General features: G+C 42.8%; 1 protein-coding gene across 163 annotated transcripts in view, besides 1 other annotated feature; it reads left to right on the top strand.

Moving 5' to 3' along the window:
• MAP4 (microtubule associated protein 4) overlaps positions 1–21,782 on the top strand; it is a 238,154-nt gene that overhangs the window by 135,677 nt on the left and 80,695 nt on the right. For 24 of the 163 annotated variants that reach the window (NM_001384859.1, NM_001384873.1, NM_001384872.1 and 21 more), the window contains one exon: positions 12,638–12,673. The exons of the other annotated variants lie outside the window; for them this stretch is intronic. In NM_001384859.1, the coding sequence (NP_001371788.1) occupies positions 12,638–12,673 (36 nt within the window). The remainder of the gene's footprint in view (positions 1–12,637; positions 12,674–21,782) is intronic. 163 annotated transcript variants of the gene reach the window in all.
• Positions 14,027–14,227: a silencer, noted in NCBI's record as "peak4636 fragment used in MPRA reporter construct". NCBI's record gives its function as "represses an SCP1 promoter by STARR-seq MPRAs in K562 erythroleukemia cells {active_cell/tissue: K562}" and the evidence as "EXISTENCE:reporter gene assay evidence [ECO:0000049][PMID:32103011]".

The raw sequence follows: 21,782 nt of genomic DNA, 5'->3' as shown, positions 1-21,782 counted from the left end.
TCACCCTAAGATTTGACAAATGCATAGTCATACCATACTCAAGATGCAGAACCATTGTAAAATCACTCTATCAATTCCCTCCTGCCCCTTTGCAATCAACCCCTTTTTGATCCCAAGGAACTAATTGACCTGTTTTTCTGTCAAAAGTGTCAAATTTAATCACTAAAATGACCTACAGTACCATGGAAAAATATGTAAGCATATAAAATACACAAACCAATTTTTTTTTTGTATTTTATTTATTTTTTGAGATGGAGTCTTGCTCTGTCACTCAGGCTAGAGTGTAATGGTGCGATCTCGGCTCACTACAACCTCTGCCTCCAAAGTTCAAGCAATTTTTCTGCCTCAGCCTCCCGAGTAGTTGGGACTACAGGCTCATGCCACCACACCCGACCAATTTTTGTATTTTTTAGTAGAGACAGAGTTTCACCATATTGGCCAGGCTGGTCTCGAACTCCTGATCTCGCGATCTGACCAATTTTTTATTTTTATTTTTATTTTTATTTTTTTTTTAATTTATTTATTTATTTTTTCCATTTAACCCTGAGTGGACACAGCACATGTTTCAGAGAGCACAGGGTTGGGGGTAAGGTCATAGATCAACAGGATCCCAAGGCAGAAGAATTTTTCTTAGTACAGAACAAAATGAAGTCTCCCATGTCTACTTCTTTCTACACAGACACAGCAACCATCCGATTTCTCAATCTTTTCCCCACCTTTCCCCCTTTTCTATTCCACAAAACCGCCATTGTCATCATGGCCCGTTCTCAATGAGCTGTTGGGTACACCTCCCAGACTGGGTGGTGGCCGGGCAGAGGGGCTCCTCACTTCCCAGTAGGGGCGGCCGGGCAGAGGCGCCCCTCACCTCCCTCCCGGATGGGGCGGCTGGCCGGGCGGGGGGGCTGACCCCCCCACCTCCCTCCCGGACGGGGCGGCTGCCGGGTGGAGATGCTCCTCACTTCCCAGACGGGGTGGCTGCTGGGCGGAGGGGCTCCTCACTTCCCAGACGGGGTGGCTGCCGGGCGGAGGGGCTCCTCACTTCTCAGACGGGGCAGCTGCCGGGCGGAGGGTCTCCTCACTTCTCAGACGGGGCGGCCGGGCAGAGACGCTCCTCACCTCCCAGACGGGGTCGCGGCCGGGCAGAGGCGCTCCTCACATCCCAGACGGGGTGGCGGGGCAGAGGCGCTCCCCACATCTCAGACAGTGGGCGGCCGGGCAGAGACGCTCCACACTTCCTAGTTGGGATGGCGGCCGGGAAGAGGCGCTCCTCACTTCCTAGATGGGATGGCGGGCGGGCAGAGACGCTCCTCACTTTCCAGACTGGGCAGCCAGGCAGAGGGGCTCCTCACATCCCAGACGATGGGCGGCCAGGCAGAGACGCTCCTCACTTCCCAGACGGGGTGGCTGCCGGGCAGAGGCTGCAATCTCGGCACTTTGGGAGGCCAAGGCAGGTGGCTGGGAGGTGGAGGTTGTAGCGAGCCGAGATCACGCCACTGCACTCCAGCCTGGGCAACATTGAGCACTGAGTGAACGAGACTCCGTCTGCAATCCCGGCACCTCGGGAGGCCAAGGCTGGCGGATCACTCGCGGTTAGGAGCTGGAGACCAGCCCGGCCAACACAGCGAAACCCTGTCTCCACCAAAAAAATACGAAAACCAGTCAGGCGTGGCGGCGCGCGTCTGCAATCGCAGGCACTAGGCAGGCTGAGACAGGAGAATCAGGCAGGGAGGTTGCAGTGAGCCGAGATGGCAGCAGTACAGCCCAGCTTCGGCTCGGCATCAGAGGGAGACCGTGGAAAGAGAGGGAGAGGGAGACCGTGGGGAGAGGGAGAGGAGGGAGAGGAGGGAGAGGGAGAGGGTCTGACCAATTTTTTAAAAAGTGAGATACTTTAAAAAGTTTCTTCAGCATACCAACAAAAAAATGAAGGTAGCATTGCATTTTACTACAGATGTGCAGATATTCATTAAAGTTCACCATTGTCATATATATGGCTCAACAGTAGTATTTAAGAATATGCTGTAAAACAACAATCTTTAGAGTCAAAAGAATGTAATTTTAAAACCTTTATAAATTAAAGCAGTTTATAAAGTTGTCTTAATTGTAAAATAGCTAATCTAGTTACAATTAATGTGTTCCAAAACTGACCTACTTGAAAAACTAGTCTTATATATTTGTTGAGTATGTGAACCATGATTAGGTCTTGCTATTTGGTATTAACACTGTCAAGTTACAGACCACAGCTGGTTCATAGAAAAGCTACTTTAAATAATGGAATTGAATTCCGTAGAAATTTTCTACAAGACCAACTCAGCTATGGGGAGAAACACGAAACTGTCAGGTGAATATTCCTACAGATGATTGGGGCCACCTCAGAATTCACCCCTGCTACCCCTATGAAAGGGACCAAAAAAACAAAAAAAGCAACCTCTATTCTGTAGTTACTAAAGGTTACATATTCAAATATATCTCATCTACTTGAAAAGCTTCACTGATTCTTTCAAGCGCCAGACCTTAAATTCATCAGCATCTTGAAACTCCACCAAGCCCAGTCATGTGCCACAGCTGAAATTTGTTTTTGGTTTTTTTTTTTAAACATAATTTACTCGAGTCTAAAATTTCAGTCAACCAATGAGGTGAACTGTTAGAGCCACCTCCAGCTATATGATCTACTCCTACACATGTTCTGAAGGTTTTTGCCAGTATATTATTGCCACGATCTTGCATGTCCTGGATTACTAGCATCCCCTTTCCCATTGGCAAGGTGCTTAGCACTGCACTTAAACCCAAGAGTGCCACCAAACCAATTTCTAAATCCCATGTTTTTAAGTCCGTCCTCTGAGATCACCCTACTTTTTGTACCAGTTCTGGATCAGGGTTCAGTCTGGAAACAGAAATATTGCAATTTGAACAAGGGAAAGTTAACATAAAGAATTATTAACTAGTAATAGATTAACCATTAAAGGGTAAAGAGAACTCTGAAAGATGTAGGTGTATCAGCTATAGGAGCAGCTACTCCCTCTGTGCCTGAGGCAGAGTATGAAAGAAAGAGACAGATTGGAGAGAGAGCCTACCCAAGGCGGAGATTCAGACCTTTTGAGGAGGTAAAGCTGTAGTCTGTTGCAGTTTTAAGTTCCTGAGGATGGCACCAGCCGAGGGTTAAAAGCAAGAGTATTGTTTGCTGGAGTGCCAACAAAACTGTCTAGGAAGCTGCTCTGGGTGGTGCTGTCGAAAATCACTGGGAAGTTAGCTGGGGTGACTGGAACTCACCTGAAGCCACTCATTGTGGTATCCCTAAAACTGGTGGGTGAGCACCGCTGGGTGTCCCACGCATCACATGAGGCCACGGGAGAAAGAAGAGGAAAACACAGTGGAACCAGGAGGAAATCCTCTTCCTCCTGTAGTATTCCTCCAGTGCTTGCTATTGGCATAAGAAAAACATTTGAAGAGTCCAGCTTCATTATTGCAAAGCAGAGCAGTAAAGTATAGATTTGGAACTGAAAGGCAATAAATTGATAACTAATATATCATACCTCTTAACCTATGCCTAGAATGGAATACAATTTCCAGATGTAGTTTAGCCAGCATAAGTAGAGCAGGATACCTACCCCACTCCGCATCATTCCTGGTACTATGTTGTTGATGTTGCTTGCCAAGAATGTAAGCTCTCTATGGGTGGTGATTCTTTTTTTTTTTTTTTTTTTTTTTTGGGACGCAGTCTTGCTCTGTTGCCCAGGTTGGAGTGCAGTGGGACAATCTCGGCTCACTGCAACCCCCGCCTCCTGGGTTCAAGCAATTCTCCTGTCTCAGCCTTCTGAGTAGCTGGGACTACAGATGCACACCACCACACTGGGCTAGTTTTTGTATTCTTAGTAGAGACGGGGTTTCACCATGTTGGCCAGGCTGGTGTTGAACTCCTGACCTCAGGTGATCTGCCCGCCTCAGGCTCCCAAAGTGCTGGGATTACAGGCGTGAGCCACCGTGCCCAGCTGGGTGGTGATTTTTTATTGCTTTATCCCTAGAACCTAAATGGAACCTGGCACGTAGTATATGTACTTAAGGGATAGTTGAATGAATAAGTGATTACAGCTCAAGATAGCGTTAAATTGTTGTCTTTTTTATGTTAGATTCATCCAAATTAGTGAAAGAAAAACTGCAGTTTGACCTAGTCAACCAACTGAAATGGATTAATGTAGAATTCTGAGTGGCTGAGTTAAAGGACACCTTATTTGATTTGGTTTAAGAAAATTGATCGGCCGGGCGCAGTGGCTCACGCCTATAATCTCAGCACTTTGGGAGGCCAAGGCAGGTGGATAATGAGGTCAGGAGTTCAAGACCAGCCTGGCCAACATGGTGAAACCCTGTCTCTACTAAAAATACAAAAAAATTAGTTGGGTATGGTGGCGGGCACCTGTAATCCCAGGTACTAGGGAGGCTGAGGCAGAGAACTGATTGAACCTGGGAGGCGGGGGTTGCAGTGAGCCGAGATTGCGCCACTGCACTCCAGCCTGGGCAACAGAGCGAGACTCTGTCTCAAAAAAAAGAAAATTGATCACCTGCCAGAGCATGGATTGACCCCTCTTCTGATGACTTGGTATGTGTTTGTACACACTGTTAACACCCCTTTCTATAGAATAGGTCACAATTATGGGTTGGGCGTGGTGACTCAACGCTTGTAATCCCAAGACTTTGGGAGGCTGAGGCAGAAAGATTGCTTGAGCCCAGGAGTTCGAGACCAGCCTGGGCAACATAGTGAGACCTGTCTCTACAAAAATTAGCCTGGCATGGTGGCACATGCCCACAGTCCCAGCTACTCCATATGTTGAGGCAGGAGGATCGCTTGAGCCCAGGAGGTTGAGACTGCAGTGAATTATGATCACAACACTGCACTCCATCCTGGGCAACAGAGCTGAGACCCTACCTATCTCAAGAAAAAAAAAAAAAAAAAAGAATAGGTCAACCAGCCTTCCCAACATGGCGAAATCCCATCTCTACTAAAAATACAAAAAATTAGCCGGGCGTGGTGGCGGGCACCTGTAGTCCCAGCTACTTGGGAGCCTGAGTCAGGAGAATCGCTTGAACCCAGGAGGCAGAGGTTGCAGTGAGCCAAGATTGTGCCACTGCACTCCAGCCTGGGCAACAAGAGTGAAACTCCATGACAAAAAAAAAAAGAAAGAATAGGTCATGGTTATGACCAGTGGGTACAAAAGACATAGACTTGTGTATTTATTGCATGTTTCAAGGTAGAAAGCAAATTGCTGCATCAAGTATTGTTGTCATAGCCTTTAATTACCTATTAGTAATGCAAAGAAGCAGAGATTTTTGTTTTCTTTTCTTTTTTTCTTTTTTCTTTTCTTTTTTTTTTTTTTTGAGACTCTCTCTGTCGCCCAGGCTGGAGTGCAGTGGTGCGATCTTGGCTCACTGCAACCTCTGCCTCCCGGGTTCAAGCAATTCTCTTGCCTCAGCCTCCCGAGTAACTGGGACTACAGGCGCCCACCACCACGCCTGGCTAACTTTTTTGTATTTTAGTAGAAATGCAGTTTCATTGTGCCCAGGCTGGTCTCGAACTCGTGAGCTCAGGCAGTTTGCCCTCCTCGGCCTCCCAAAGTGGTGGGATTACAGGCATGAGCCACCACACCCGGCTTGAGATTTCTCTCTTCTAGGAGAGTTCTGGCAGATGATTTGGCCTTTCCTCCCTTGTTGTACACTAAGAGGAAATGAGGCAGAGTAGGAAAGAAAGGTACCCAAGGTTGAGTGTTGAATGAGAGGACCAGGGATTAAAATCAAAATCCCTACCTGGCTGAATGTGGCTCTGCTGCCTTGGGGTAGGAGATTGGGCCACAAGTCCAGCTGGGTGCCAGGAGGAGGAAGGGGTAAAAAGGGAGTGGAAAACCCCTCCAAGGACCCACTGACCCTGCTGGCAGACTTCTTATTCAAGTGTGAAGAAATCTGTCAGAATCTGAGGGAACCAAAGACAAGAAAAAAGTACAATGTTTGGACATAAATTTCCTTAATTCTTGTAATGTTTTAGGATTCTAATAATCTTCTATAAGGAGGATATTAAATATCCTTAAATAATTTGCTGTACTTGGGAAAGTGGTTTTTCTTCTTCAGTTTAGAGCTAGAATCTCAGTTACCTATAGTTGCCTGGAGTCAATTGGTAGAATGGGTTTGAAGCCATTGAAAATTGAGCGTGGATATGAATACAGTTTAATGTTTACATGTGATTTCTGCCACAGTTGATTTTGATTATGGCTACTTGTAAATCATTTTTCTGGCTTTAAACCAAAAACTTTTAAATTTCTGGCATAATTTAAATACTTTCATAAATATAACCTGCTTAACCTGTTTAACAGAATGTGAAAATAGAAATAGGGTTCATTATAAGTTATTGACATTTAAAGGGAATTCCTGTTTTGTATATCACATCATAGATATATGATAGCCCTGGTTTATTATGTCTATTATCCTGACATAATTGTTAATAGTTGCTTCTTTTTTTTTTTTTTTTTTTTTTTTTGAGACGGAGTTTCACCTTTGTCACCCAGACAGGAGTGCAATGGCACAATCTTGGCTCACTGCAACCTCTGCCTCCTGGGTTCAAGCGATTCTCCTGTCTCAGCCTCATGAGTAGCTGGGATTATAGGTTTGTGCCACAACACCCGGCTAATTTTTGTATTTTTAGTAGAGATGGGGTTTCACCATGTTGGCCAGGCTGGTCTTGAACTCCTGACCTCAGGTGATCTGCCCACCTCAGCCTCCCAAAATGCTGGGATTACAGGCGTGAGCCATCATGCCCAGCCAATAGTTGTTTATTTTACTCTTGTTTTGGCCTACTCTGACCAGGCAAATTTATTTCTTAGAATGTGTTGATTTAGTTTAGTATAAATTAAACTAAATTAGTGTAATAGTCCTGAGCATTTAAGTTATGGGGCCGGGTGTGGTGGCTCACACCTGTAATCCCAGCACTTTGGGAGGCAGAGGTGGGCAGATGACAAGGTCAGTAGATCGAGACCATCCTGGCTAACATGGTGAAACCCCATCTCTACTAAAACTACAAAAAAAAAAAAAAATTAGCCAAGCATGGTGGCGGGCGCCTGTAGTCCCAGCTACTCAGGAGGCTGAGGCAGGAGAATGGCATGAACCTGGGAGGCAGAGCTTGCAGTGAGCCGAAATTGTGCCACTGCACTCCAGCCTGGGCGACAGAGCAAGACTCCATCTCAAAAAAAATAAAATAAAATAAAACCAGTCTTGGCAACACGGCGAAGCCCTGTCTCTACAGAAAAATACAAAAAATTAGCTGGGTGTGGTGATGTGTGCCTGTAGTCCCAGATACTTGGGAGACTGAGGTCACTTGAGCCCAGGAGGTTGAGGCTGCAGTGAGCCAAGATCGCTCCACTGCACTCCAGCCTGGGTGACAGAGTGAGACCCTGCCTCCAAAAAAATAAAAAATATTAAATTATAATATTTTAATATTCAGCAAAAAAAGTAAATAAAATTCAGTAGAACAAAGGTGTTGCAAAAAGAAGAATCTTAATTTGTAGATTGCATCTTTTAAGAAAAACTCATAAGAATACCAGCCAGTATTTTTATCTCCAGATGAATTTTTTCCCCTCCAAATTACAATCATTTCTCCATTCAACATCCTTTATTAGGCACCACCTAGGTATCAGGCCAGATACATGGTGCTGGGAATAGTGAAGAGAAAGACACAGTCCTTGTTCTCAAAGGACTAAACAGAGAATGGAGGAACCGTATCTTGTATTCAGATGTTTAAATGTATGCATAGGTTGCTTATGCATACATTATGAGAACCTATGCTACATGTTTTAAATGTATGCATAGGTTCTCATGACATACATTTATGAGATCTCAGCTCACTGCAACCTCTGCTTCCTGGATTCAAGCAATTCTCCTGTCTCAGCCTCCCGAGTAGCTGGGACTGCAGTCGCATGCCACCATGCCTGGCTAATTTTTGTATTTTTAGTAGAGAGGGGTTTCACCCTGTGGGTCAGGCTGGTCTCGAACTCCTGACCTCAGGTGATTCACCCGCCTCAGCCTCCCAAAGTGCTAGGATTACAGGTGTGAGCCACCGCGCCTGGCCAGCAATCTGATTTCATCTGTTCCCAATCACTCCCTCCATTTAACCCTAGGTGTTTTTTGGAAGCAAACCCCAGATCATTTGATCTTTATATTAGCATGTATCTCAAAAAAAAAAAAAAAAAGGTTCCTTTTTAGAGCATAATTGCAATACCATTAACAAACACACACCGGTTCCCTAGTACCAAATATCCAGTCAGTATTCAATTCACCAGTTATCTCATAATTAAAAAAAAAAAACTAGCTCGTTAGAATTAGAATCTAAATTTATTTTAATCCATAGATTCTTCTATAGGGGATATATATATAAACAGTTTGGATTTTACTTGTGTTTTAAAGATGCCAGAGATTTAACTGTGCTCATAGCCAGAGGGGGAGAAATGAGGAGAGAAGGAATGAAAAATTAAGTCTAGAAGGTTGGAGGACTGGGTGGCAAGAAGGTGATAAAGGGCATATTTGCTGTCCTTGGAAAGGAGAATCACGTGTATTTTGCATATTCTCTGGTTTAGCATTTTCCCCAAATTAAAAAGAAATAAAAATGGGGGATTATATTTTTCTCATAAATAGGAAGGAAAGAAGTAATGATGGACTCTGATGTAGATAAATTTATGGTAGAGGAAACAGCAGTCATATAATATCATTTTCTATAAAGTAAAATACTATATTTTGGATGGAGTGAGCTGGAAAAGAAAGTATGTATAACAGACTGTGGAGAATGAGAAAGGAAGTTGCATGGGGACACATTTTGTTTTTGTTTTTGTTTTTGAGACAGAGTTTTGCTCTCTCGCCCAGGCTGGAGTGCAGTGACGTGATCTTGGCTCACTGCAACCTCCGCCTCCCAGGTTCAAGCCATTCTTCTGCCTCAGCCTCCTGATTAGCTGGGATTACAGGCGTGTGCCACCACACCCAGCTAATTTTTGTATTTTTAGTAGAGACAGGGTTTCACCATGTTGATCAGGCTGTTCTTGATCTCCTGACCTTGTGATCCACCTGCCTCAGCCTCCCAAAGTGCTGAGATTACAGGCGTGAGCCACCACGCCTTGCCAGGGACACATGTTTTTATAGGAAGTTGTGTAGAGAGGTGTGTTTATAGGAACAAGTACATTCAGTATGATAATAAATCAAGTGTTGTAGGAGGTAGAATACTGAAACTATTCAGTATTCTGAGTTGACAGCTCAGCTACTGCCAACTTAGCCTGTATTGTGGTCTCAGGGTAGCATCCTTCACCTGTGGCCACTCTGAGACACATCCAGCAGAATTTCTGGTTGAAGCAAAACAAGTGTGCTATGTGATCTTAAAGTTATCTCCTTCCTGCTGGAGATTTCCTTCAAATGCCTTGGTGTTTTCAAATATTGCTAGAGGGCTAAACTCAGAGTCTTCCAACCATTGTAGGGATGTCAAATATCATTAATTTATTTTTGTTTTTTTAATTGAGATGGGTTTGAAGCCTTTTTTGGGGAGAGTGGGGGAAAGAGTCCTGTTTTGTCACCTAGGCTGGAATGCAGTACGGGATCTGGGCTCACTGCACCCTCTGCCTCCCGAGTTCAAGCAATTCTTCTGCCTCAGTCTCAGTGGCTGTGATTACAGACATGCACCATCACGCCTGGCTAATTTTTGTATTTTTAGTAGAGATGGGGTTTCACCACATGGGTCAGACTGGTCTTGAACTCTTGACCTCATGTCATCTGTGGGCCTCAGCCTCCCAAAGTGCTGGGATTACAGGCATGAGCCACCGCATCTGGCCTAAAATATTATTTTAAATCAAGAAAGGTTAGTGGGCTTTTTGCTAGTTTAATACAGTGGAGAAGGACGCTAATATAGTTGGATATGAACATTTGGATCTATTTAATTATAAAAAATGGAGTCGGCTGAAAATCTGAGAAAGGAGTAGGCTTTCTCCTGTCACTTTTTTTATTGAAATACTTTTATTTTTATTTTGAAAGTTTTTTTTCTTTTGTGTTTTTGGAGACAGGGTCTTGGTCTGTTGCCCAGGAATACAGTGGTTCTATCATAGCTCACTGCAATCTTGAAATCCTGGCTCAAGCAATCCTCCCACCTCAGCCTCCAAAGTAACTGGGACGACAGGTGTGCACTACCGTGCCTGGCTAATTTTTTAAATTTTTTTTGTAGAGGTTGGGGTCTTGCTACATTGCCCAAGCTGGTCTCCAATGCCTGGGCTCAGGCGATCCTCCTGCCTCCACCTCCCAAATTGCGATGATTACAGGTGTGAGCCGCCATGCCCAGCTTATTTTGAAATAATTTCAAATTTATAGAAAAGTTGAAAGAACTTTATACATTTTTCCAGATTCAACAATCAATACGATTTTACCACAACTATTTTAGCATTCTGTAAGATATGTATGTATATGAATATACACGTATTTTCCTTGTCACCTTTGTTTGATCTAATAATCTAAGATGTTCTCACATGTGTTACTTACAATGTCAACAGTAACTGGTATCCCTGTGTGCATGAAAAAAGCAAAAAACAAAAAACAAAAACAGTGGTGATTGTCAGGGCACAGTGGCATGTACCTGTAGTCCCTGCTACATGGGAAGCTGATGTGGGAGAATCACTTGGGGCCAGGAGCTCAGTCAAGGCTGCAGTGAGCTATAATTATGCCTGTGAATAGCTACTGCACTCCAGCCTAGGCAACAAAGTGAGACCCCATCTCTAAAAATAAATAGAAAAAAAAGTTTTTAATTTAAAAAAAACTGTCAGTAGTAAATGAAAATACCACATTCAGACATTTTCCCCTTTCTTTTCTGTGAAGCACCTTTGCCAGCATTAATTTTTCTTAATTTTTATTGTTATGCCATTTTAACGTCTTTATGATTAAGTTTAGCTCTTAATGAGATACTGTGTTGTGTATTTTTTCATTTCTCACATGGCTAAGCTTCTATCCCAAAAGCATAATGAAGCCTGAACTTTGTCTTGGATTTCTTGACTTTCTGCAGGGAATGGGGAGAGGGAAGAACGGGGCTGTAGGAGGCTAGAAGTGTGAGCTTGCACTGGAGTATATAGGGATTTGGACTAACAGACTTCTAAAACTGTAAAGGAGTTTAGAGACCAAATACTAGCACAGCCCTTAGTAAAGACCCCCAAAGAGCTTGTGTTTGTGAGGGTTATATCTATTTATCAAACTAAAACTGGAGAAACCTGAAAAATACTTATCTCATTTTAAAAAGTAATAATAAACAATATTTTTATTGAGAAGTATAGTTTCAAAAATGAAGGAGATTAGTAAGAACAGTGGTAGCGTTTTCGCCTTTTTTTTTTTTTTTTTGAGACGGAGTCTTGCCCTGTTGCCCAGGCTGGAGTGCAATGGCACGATCTCAGCTCATTGCAACCTCTGCCTCCCGGGTTCAAACAGTCCTCCTGCCTCAACCTCCTGAGTAGCTGGGATTACAGGCACACGCCACCATGCCCAGTTTTTTTTTTTTTTGTTTTTGTTTTTTTAGTAGAGACTGTGTTTTACTATGTTAGCCAGGCTGGTCTCGAACTCCTGACCTCTTGATCCGCCCACCTCGGCCTCCCAAAGTGCTGGGATTACAGGCGTGAGCCACCGAGCCCAGCCATGGTTTCGCTTTTAAAAATCTTTTTAATGTCTGTCTTAATAGAACACAGCTGTATTTTTATATCTGCCTCTGCATTCAGTCTGTCACAATATGTTGTTTGGGTTGCAGTATATGAAGAAAATCCATTTCACACAAATATGTAGTTAGGAGGAGGAATATTTTGACAGTTTTTTTTCCAGGTAACTATGGGTATTTGATTTGACATCAAAACTTCACAAATGGTAGTTTCTTTTCTTCTTCTTCTTCCTTTTTTTTTTTTTTTTTTTTTTTTTTTGGTAGAGATAGGGTCTCATTATGTTGCCCAGGCTGATCTCAAATTCCTGGGCTCTGGCCAGGCGCTGTAATCCCAGGACTTTGGGAGGCCGAGGTGGGTGGATCACCTGAGATCAGGAGTTTGAGACCAGCTTGGCCAGCATGGTAAAACCCCGTCTCTACTAAAAATACAAAAAATTAGCCAAGTGTGGTGGTGGCTGCCTGTAATCCCAGCTACCTGGGAGGCTGAGGCAGGAGAGTTGCTTGAACCCGGGAGGTAGAGGTTACAGTGAGCCGAGATTGCACCATTGCACTCCAGCCTGGGCAGCAAGAGCAAAACTCTGTCTCCAAAAATGAAAAAAATATTCCTGGTCTCAAGCAGTTCTCCCACCTCAGCCTCCCAAAGTGCTGTGGTTTACAGGGGTGAACTACTGCACCTAGCCAAGTGGTAGTTTCTTAAAGGTTGTTTGCAATGGGGAATCTGAAACCATATCAATGAACTTTTTGTACTGTTATTTAAAATCCATTAGTCTATCTTGCACTTGGAATGGATCATATGTGACAGAATTAGTCTAGTTTTGATATGTAGATATGCTACTTGTTTAATTAGTACTTTAAGTGTTTAGCCATATGCCTTTTCTGTTAAATGCCTTCAATTTCACAGAGATAGAAAACTGTCCCCTGTCCTTCCCCATTCTACTTTTATAGGAGAATCAAAGTCTCTAGGGATGGCCAGTGGTAGTGGTAAGTATTTTTTCTACTGCATTATGTAAATTGCTTCTTGTTTAGAATTTCATTTTCCATAGTTTTACTGAAATAGACTCTCTGAGTAGATTGCAAGTATGCTAAAAAATTTATTCTGAAGGCTGTTGTTTCTACAGGGGAGTTTGCCTGCTTCTGCTGTGTAGTTTTAAGAACAAAATCTAGGTCAGCAGTATTGAATAAAGATGTGGGAGTGAGCCTCTGGTCAAACATGCTCCTTAATAATAATGGTGGCGGGGGACTGGTGATTCTGAACTTTGCTGTTGAGATAGCTGCTCCAGGCTGTGCTGCACCCTGTGGAAGGGAATAACCAGCAAAATTCTGCATCTTAAAACCAGATTTGGGCCAGGTGTGGTGGCTCACACCTATAATTGCAGCATTTTGGGAGGCCAAGGCGGGTGGCTCACCTGAGGTCAGGAGTTTGAGACCAGCCTGACCAACATGGTGAAACCTCGTCTCCACTAAAAGTACAAAAATTAGCCAGGCATGGTGGTGCACATCTGTAATCCCAGCTACTCGAGAGGCTGAGGCAGGAGAATTGCTTGAACCTGGGAGGTTGCAGTGAGTGGAGATCATGCCACTGCACTCCAGCCTAGGCAACAGAGTGAGACTCCACCTCAAAAAAATTTTTAAAAAAATGAAAAAAACAACAACAACAAAAAACAGACTTTCATGCTCCTTCTCCAGGAGGGGTGAGGAAAATGTACCCATTTCTCTGATTAAAAACTTATTTTTTGATCAAGAGGTGGTTGTTTAAAAAAAAAAAAAAAACTATTTCTTTACAGTTTCTTACCATGAGTAAGAAATATAAGCAGAATCAGAGTTTTTAATGTCTATCTTAGAAATGATAGGCTATTGTTTAAATTATTTTGGAATTCCTTATGCTTTTTTAAAAAAAAACATTATGTCACCAACCTTATGCTCTTTATAATAAATGCAAATCACTTTCCAAGAAGTTTGGTGTATAATGTGAATTTAACTTACATCATTTAGCCCAAATAATGATCTTGTGATAATTTGATAGCAACTTATTTATTGAATACTATTCTGTCTCATGCAGTTAGCTAGGCATTGTGAGGAAATAAAAGTAGTAAAAGCACAGTATTTTCTTTTTAAACATTAATGAGTTCACTTACTAACATGTAAAATAATGAAAATTTTAATGATAAATAGAATACTTAAAGGCTTTTTAATTTTTTAAAAAAAGACTAACAGGAAAACATGTGCTTAAGGACTAAATTCTTTCCTAGTAACAGTGAATGGTAAAAGAGCTAAGTAGTGGAAAATGAGCATTAAAGTCATCAGAGAGGTTCTGTGGAAGCTATGAGGCCCAAGTGGTGGCTTTGGAATTGGATCAGGGAGGAGACATTTCAAGCAGGGGATCAGTGATCTCATGAGCAAAGGCACAGGGGCAGAGTGGAGCACAGGCTCTAGCAGGAGCCATGAGGGGACAGCATACTTACTGCATGACTTTCCTGTTGGAGTAGTAGGGAACAAGCCTGGGATGGGTTCATTTGATGGGTAAGGAAGGCTTTAGATTAGCATCTAACATTTGCCGTAATAATGTTTTGTGTTGTTGAAGCCCTAAACACATCGTCTTTATAAGCTTTGAAATAGATGGATAGGTGCACCTTCTCTAAATAGGATGTGACTTGAAGAATGTTTTTTACTTAACCATAATTTTAGAACTGAACAAGTATCCTTAGAGGTCATTACTGTGACTAAGAGAGATGAAAGGGCTGTCCCAAATTTACATGGTTAGCCTGTGGCAAAGCCAGGGTTAAGAACTCAAATATGGGCCTGGTATAGAGGCTCATGCATGTAATCCTAGCACTTTGGGAGGTCAAATCCGGAGGATTGCTTGAGCCCAGTTGTTCAACGCCAGCCTGGGCAATGTATGGAGACCCTGTCTCTACCCCCAAAATAATAACAATAATAAATTAGAAGGGCATAGTGGCACACATCTGTGTCCTTAGCTACTGGAGAAGCTGAGAGGGGAGGATTGCTTGAGCCCAGGAAGTTGAGGCCGCAGTGAGCTGTGATTGCGCCACTATACCTGGGAGACAGTCAGACCTTGTCTCAATTAACAATTCCCTTTTTTCTTTTTTTCCTTTGAGACAGAATCTCGCTCTGTCGCCCAGGCTGGGTGCAGTGGCACAGTCTCGGTTCACTGCAACCTCCACCTCCCAGGTTCAAACAATTCTCCTGTCTCAGCCTCCCGAGTAGGATTACAGGTGTGCGCCACCATGCGTGGCTAATTTTTGTATTTTTAGTAGAGACAGCGTTTCATCATGTTGGCCAGGCTGGTCTCTAACTCCTGACCTCAAGTGATCTGCCTGCCTCTGCCTTCCCAAAGTGCTGGGATTACAGGCATGAGCCACCACACCCAGCAGAGATCTTGTCTCAATAAAATAAAAGTAAGAACTCAAATATGTCTGCTGGTGCCCAGCTGTTCTCTCCCTCCTTTCCCTCTATAGATTTTTTAGAATATTTAATAATAATAATAAAAGAAGAAAAATGGCTGGGTGCAGTGGTTCATGCCTGTAATCCCAGCACTTTGGGAGACTGAGGCGGGCGGATCACCTGAGGTCAGGAGTTCGAGACCATCCTGGCCAACATGGTGAAACCTCGTCTCTACTAAAAATACAAAAATTAGCCGGGCATGGTGGCAGGCGCCTGTAATCCCAGCTACTCAGGAGGCTGAGGCAGGAGAATCGCTTGAACCCGGGAGGCAGAGGTTGCAGTGAGCTGAGATTGTGCTATCGCGCTCCAGCCTGGGGGACAAGAGTGAGACTTCGTCTCAAAAAAAAAAAAAAAAAAAAAAGAAGAAGAAAAAGGAAAAGCTGTTCTTGAAGGTAGCCAAAGGTTCTGAGATTGATTCCTACCTTCAACCTGAGAACATCAGAAACATCTTTCTCCTATAATTTTCTGATTAATTTCACTGCAGTAATCCAGAATGGGGTTGTTTTATTACATTTGTGTTTTGTGATTCAAGAACTAAGACAAATATATTAATCCTATGAAAAAACATATTGCTTTTAATATTTTTACTAATTTAAAAAGGCGTTTATCCAAGTTTCATCACCTTTTCTTCCCCTCTGCTCAGTGTATATGCCACTTGTGAACCTTCCCGAGGATGCTGTGGTTTGTTCTTTAATTCATCGTCATTTTTCTGGCTTAGACAAGTAATGAGTACTTTCATCTACTTAAATGACCAAGTATTTCATCTGTCTAATAACTGCTGAGTCTTATTTGTAAGTTATGTTTTACCAGATTTTTGAGAATTATAAAGATGAATGGATAAGTCAAAAGTCTCAGAATTAATTTTAAAATTAAAATGGGCTTCAGAAATTATGTAGCACAATTTTTTTTTTTAATTCTGGATGAGTAGTGTAGCTCTAACAGTCTTAAGGTCACACCCAAAGTTAAGTGGCAGAGTCAAGATTAGAACCTGGGTCTCCTGATTCTGTTTTCTTTCTTTTCTTTTTTTTTTTTTTTTTGAGACGGAGTTTCGCTCTTGTCACCCAAGCCGGAGTGCAGTGGCGCGATCTTGGCTCACTGCAACCTCCACCTCCCGGGTTCAAGCAGTTCTCTTGCCTCAGCCTCCCGAGTAGCTGGGATTACAGGAGCCCGCTACCATGCCTGGCTAATTTTATATTTTTAGTTGAGACGGGGTTTCTCCATGTTGGCCAGGCTGGTCTTGAACTCTTGACCTCAGGTGATCTGCCTACCTTGGCTTCCCAAAGTGTTGGGATTACAGGCGCCAGCCACCGTGCCTGGGCTCCTGATTCTGTTTTCTAGTTCTGTTTTCCTTCTTTAGCATATCTCTTTTTGGTTTAGATTGCTTTTCTGTCCTGTGAAGAAGCTTTGTTTTTAGAGATTTCCTCAATGTTACGTGTGCCATTATAAGAACTAGGCATTGTATATTTGTATATTTTGTTGCGTGCTTGTAGCTAGATTTTTTTTTTTTAACATATAAGGGTTTTAGAATAATACCTGATCCATAAGTCTCTCCTTTCTCCTCCCCCTTTTTTCTTTTCTTTTTTTTTAAGACAGAGTTTTGCTCTGTTGCCCAGGCTAGAGTACAGTGATGTGATCTCGGGTCACTGCAACCTCTGCCTCCCAGGTTCAAGCAATTCTGCCTCAGCCTCCCGAGTAGCTGGGATTACAGGTGCCTACCACCACACCCGGCTAATTTTTTGTTTTCTTAGTAGAGACGGGTTTTCACCACGTTGGTCGGGCTGGTGCCAAACTTCTGGCCTCAAGTGATCCACCACCTCAGCCTCTCAAAGTGCTAGGATTACAGGTGTGAGCCACCATGCCTGGCCTCTTTCTCTCCTTCTTCTCCTTCTTTGTCTCTCTCCCACCCTCCTCTTTCTCCCCTTCTTTCCTCCCTACACCTTCTTTGGCTTCATTCTTAGGCAGTGTCTTTCAGGGTTGAGAAAGATGGCCACTGGCAGCTATATTCTTAATTTTATATTCTTATATAAAATTCTTAATTTTTTTGAGGTATATTCCTAATATTTTTTTTTTTTTTTTTTGGAGACTAAGTCTCACTACGTCACTGCAGCTGGAGTGCAGTTGTGTGATCTCGGCTCACTGCAGCCTCTGCCTCCCGGGTTCAAGCAATTCTCCTGTCTCAGCCTCCTGAGTAGCTGGGACTACAGACATACGTCACCACACCCCCGGCTAATTTTTGTATTTTTAGTAGAGATGGGGTTTCACCATATTGATCAGGCTGGTCTCGAACTCCTGACCTTAGGTGATCCACCCGTCTCAGCCTCTCAAAGTGCTGGGATTACAGGTGTGAGCCACCACGCCTGGCCAGCTCAGGTATATTATTATGGTTCAATATCTTAAAATGTCTGTATATCAGGTTTCTCCAAAAGGGCTTTGGGCCTGCTTGAATCACAAGTCTACTTCTTCGGTGGGGAAAGCAAAACACCAGGACCAAATAGAGGAATGGGATGGTTCCTAGGGGTGGGTTTCCCTTTAGAAGGCATTCAGGCAGACAAATCTTAAGTTTCTATTTGGCCTTTGAAACTCTAGCTGCCGTTTATGAAGAACTGCTGTCCTTCATAAATGTGTTTCATCCAAAGTGATATGCTCTTGGTTTTCCCATTCTTGCCCATGGCCCTAACTTCTATTTTGCTTGCTGTGTGTCTTCCCCACTTTGTCTCTTTCTCTGTTTCCCAGCTTCATTTAATTACATCCTTCTATCTTCCTAGATTCAATTAAGTTCTAGTCTCCTACAGGAAGATCCTAGATCATCCCACGACTGTGTTATGTGACTGTTCTTTAAACTCCTATAAGTAGCACTTACTGCATTGTAGACACTTGTCCTACATAAACCATAATGGTTATTATAGGATTAGCAATAATTTAGCATGTTTCTCATAATTTTCTAAGCACTTCACATATCTTAGCCTTATGAAGTAGGTATTAGTTATGAAAACTAAAGCTTGCAGAGGTTTGCATCATTGGGCATGTCTTAAACTCTCAACTAGGCTAATACTTGCTTCTGTGTTTTCGTAGTGCCTAAGCATAGGGTGGTGATGGTGGTGATCTAAGTTCCATGAGAGCAGGACATTTCACCATTTGGTTTACTGCTGAATCACTAATGCCTGGAGTAGCGATTGACAGTATGTGCTTAAATTGGTAAATGAATTATCTGGACAAATGTGGCATGGTTTAAACTTCAGAGGTTTGGATTAGGTGATCCTCTAGGTTCCTTTCACTTTAAAGTTCTGAGGTTACCACTGGGGGAAAAAAACAAAAAAACAAGGAAAGAGCTGAGGGTGTGAAATAGAAGGAGTCACTGATTCGTTTGTTAGTAATATGTAAATTATGAGCCGCACTAATATTGTTTATAAGAAAGCAGACTGGGCCAGGCACGGTGGCCTGTAATCCCAGCACTTTGGGAGGCCAAGATGGGTGGACTCCTTGAGCCCAGAAGTTCAAGACCAGCCTAGGTAACATGGTGAAATCCTGTCTCTACCAAAAATACAATAATTAGCCGAGCGTGATGGCACGTGCTTGTAGTCCCAGTACTCAAGAAGCTGAGGTGAGAGGATAATTTGAGCCTGGGAGACGGAGTTTAGGGTGAGCTGAGATCAAGTCACTGGATTCCAGCCTGGGAGACAAAAGGAGACGCTGTCTCAAAACTATGCCATCAGTATACAGCAGATACTAAAAGGTATTGAAAGGGTAGAAATTTGACTGGGGAAAAGTAGGGTTCAAAACCCTAATCACTTTTTTAAAAAAATTATTTAATATGTTGTGGTGCTGTTGATTCAGTGCTGCCTGGTCACCACCAGTAGATTAGCTCTTGATGTCCTGTCCCTCTCTTTACCCAGTGCCTGAGTCTGTTGCTTCGGTCAGCCTTGAGATTTCTTCTCCAGCAGTGTTTAAAAACAAGTATGTGTGACCTATGTAAAATTGGCCTTACATATCTACTGAAATGGTGATGAATACATACATAGAGTACAGAAAATTAAACTACATAATTAACCCAATTTCACCACATTCAGCTCTGGGGAACCTACTTGTGTTGAAATGCCATTTAAAGTTGGCTTTTGGGGCCAGGTGCAGTGACACATGCCTGTCATCCCAGCACTTTGGGAGGCTGAGGCAGGCAGATCACTTGGGTTGAGGAGTTTGAGACCAGCCTGGCCAACATGGTGAAACCCTGTCTCTACTAAAAATACAAAAAATTAGCCGGGCGTGGTGGCAGGCGCCTGTAGTCCCAGCTGCTTGGGAGGCTGAGGCAGGAGAATGGCGTGAATCTGGGAGGCGGATCTTGCAGTGAGCCCAGATCGCGCCACTGCACTCCAGCCTGGGTGACAGAGCAAGACTCTGTCTCAAAAAAAAAAAAAAAAAGCTGGGCAGGATGGCATATGCCAGTAGTCCCAGCTACTTGGCAGGCTGAGGTGAGAGGATTGCTTGAGTCAGGGAGGTCGAGGCTGCAGTGAGCTATGATCGTACTACCGCACTCCAGCTTGGGTGACAGAGTGAGACCCTGTCTCAAAAAAAAGAAAGAAAAAAACTTTATTGAGGTGTAATTTACATACCCAAAAATTTACCTGTTGTAAGTGTGGAAGTAAATGATTCTTAGTAAAATTACGGAGTCGAAATGATTCTTAGTAATATTATGGAGTTGTGCAACCATCAGTGTAATCCATCGTTAGAACATTTTTTTATTACCCTAAAAGTTCCCTTGAGCCCATTTACAAAGCCAGTCCCTTTTCTGACCTACAGTTTCAGGTGACCATTGATCTGCTTCCTGTTATAGTTCTGTATGTTCTAGAAATTTCATATAAATGGAATCATACAATATATATTCTTTGGTATCTTGATTTCCTCACTTAGCATAATGCTTTTGAGATTCTTCTCTACAAAAATTAAAAAAAAATTAGCCAGGTGTGGTGGCATGCACCTGTAGTCCCAGCTACTCTTGAGGCTGAGGCAGGAAGATCTCTTGAGCCCAGGAGTTTAAGGTTGCAGTGAGCTGTGATCGTGCCACTGCACTCCAGCCTGAGCAACAGAGCAGGACTGTCTCAAAAATAAAAACAAAAAAAGATAGCCAAGCATGGTGGTGTACACCTGTGGTCTCAGCTGTAGGTGTCTCTTGCAGAGGCAAGAGGATTACTTGAGCCCAGGAGTTTGAGGCTGCAAGGCAGTATGATTGCACCTGTGAACAGCCGCTGCACCCGAATAGTCTGGGCAACATAATGAGACCCCACTCATTTCACGTCTCCAAAGAAAACATACAAATGCCAGATGAACACATGAAAAAATGCTCAACATCATTAGTCATTAGAGCAGTCCAAATCAAAACCACAATAAGATGCTACTTCTTACCACATCTAGGGTGACTACGATAAAAAAAGATAACAACATGTTGGTGAAGATGTGAAGAAACTGGAGTCCTCATGTATTGTTATTGGGATTGTAAAATGACGCAGCCATTTTGGAAACAGTTTGGCAGTGTCTCAAAATATTAAACATAAAGTTGCTTTATGACCCAGCAGTTCTACTCCTAGGGATATATCAAAGATAATTGAAACACGTTCCCACAAAAACCTGTACGTGAATGTTCATAGCAGCATTATTCACAATATCCAAAAAGTAGAAACAACCAAATGTCAGCTGATTAATGGATAAACAAAGTGTGGTGGATCTACACAGTGGAATGTTATTTGGCTATAAAAAGGAATAAAGTTCAGTTACCATACTACAGCATGGATGAACCTTGAAAACATTGTGCTAAATGAAAGAGGTCAGTCACAAAAGATGACATATTGTGTGACTTCATTTATATGAAATATCTAGATTAGGCAAATCCTTAGGAACAAAAAGTAGACGAGTGGTTACCGAGGGGTAGGGGAAAGTGGGAAAGGAGAAAAGATATGGGATTTCTTTTTTGGAGTGAAGAAAATGTTCTGAAGTTAGATAGTGGTGATGGTTGTATAACTGTGTATATGCTAAAAAACCTTTGAACTCGACTTTAAAAGAGTGAATTTTGTGAATTATACTCGATAAAACTGTTATTTAAAAAATAAAAAGAGGCTGGTCCAAAGGTAGTGAGTTATCTCAATTGTTCAGTCAGTTACAGATTGAACTCCACGTTCCACTCTTTCCCTGCTTCTCACTGTTGTACTTGACTAGTCTTTAAAAATACAGATGGAGCCAGGCACAGTGGCTCAAACCTGTAATCCTAGGACTTGAGGAGGTTGAGATCAGAGAACTGCTTGAGCCCAGAAGTTGGAGACCAGCTTGGGCAACATAATGAGACCCTGTCTCTACAAAAAAAAAAAAAAAAAAATTTTGTTTAAATTAGGCAGGTGTGGTGGCAAGTGCCTATATTTGTAGCTACTTGGGAGGCCGAGGTGAGAGGATTGCTTGAGCTTGGGAAGTTGAGGCTGCAGTCAGCCATGATCCACACCGCTGCATTCCAGCCTGGATGACAGAGCAAGACCCTGTCTCAACAACAAAAAAAGAGCAACTTTGAGAAAAACAAAAATAAGTAAATAAAAGGAAACCACCAAACTACCATTTTACACATTCTCAAAATTGCTCCTGTCAGTCTTTT

The sequence above is a fragment of the Homo sapiens genome, chromosome 3, assembly GCF_000001405.40.
Source record: "Homo sapiens chromosome 3, GRCh38.p14 Primary Assembly".
NCBI lineage: Eukaryota > Metazoa > Chordata > Mammalia > Primates > Hominidae > Homo > Homo sapiens.
Note: the sequence above shows the minus strand (reverse complement) of the source record. Positions and strands in the feature narration are given on the sequence as shown.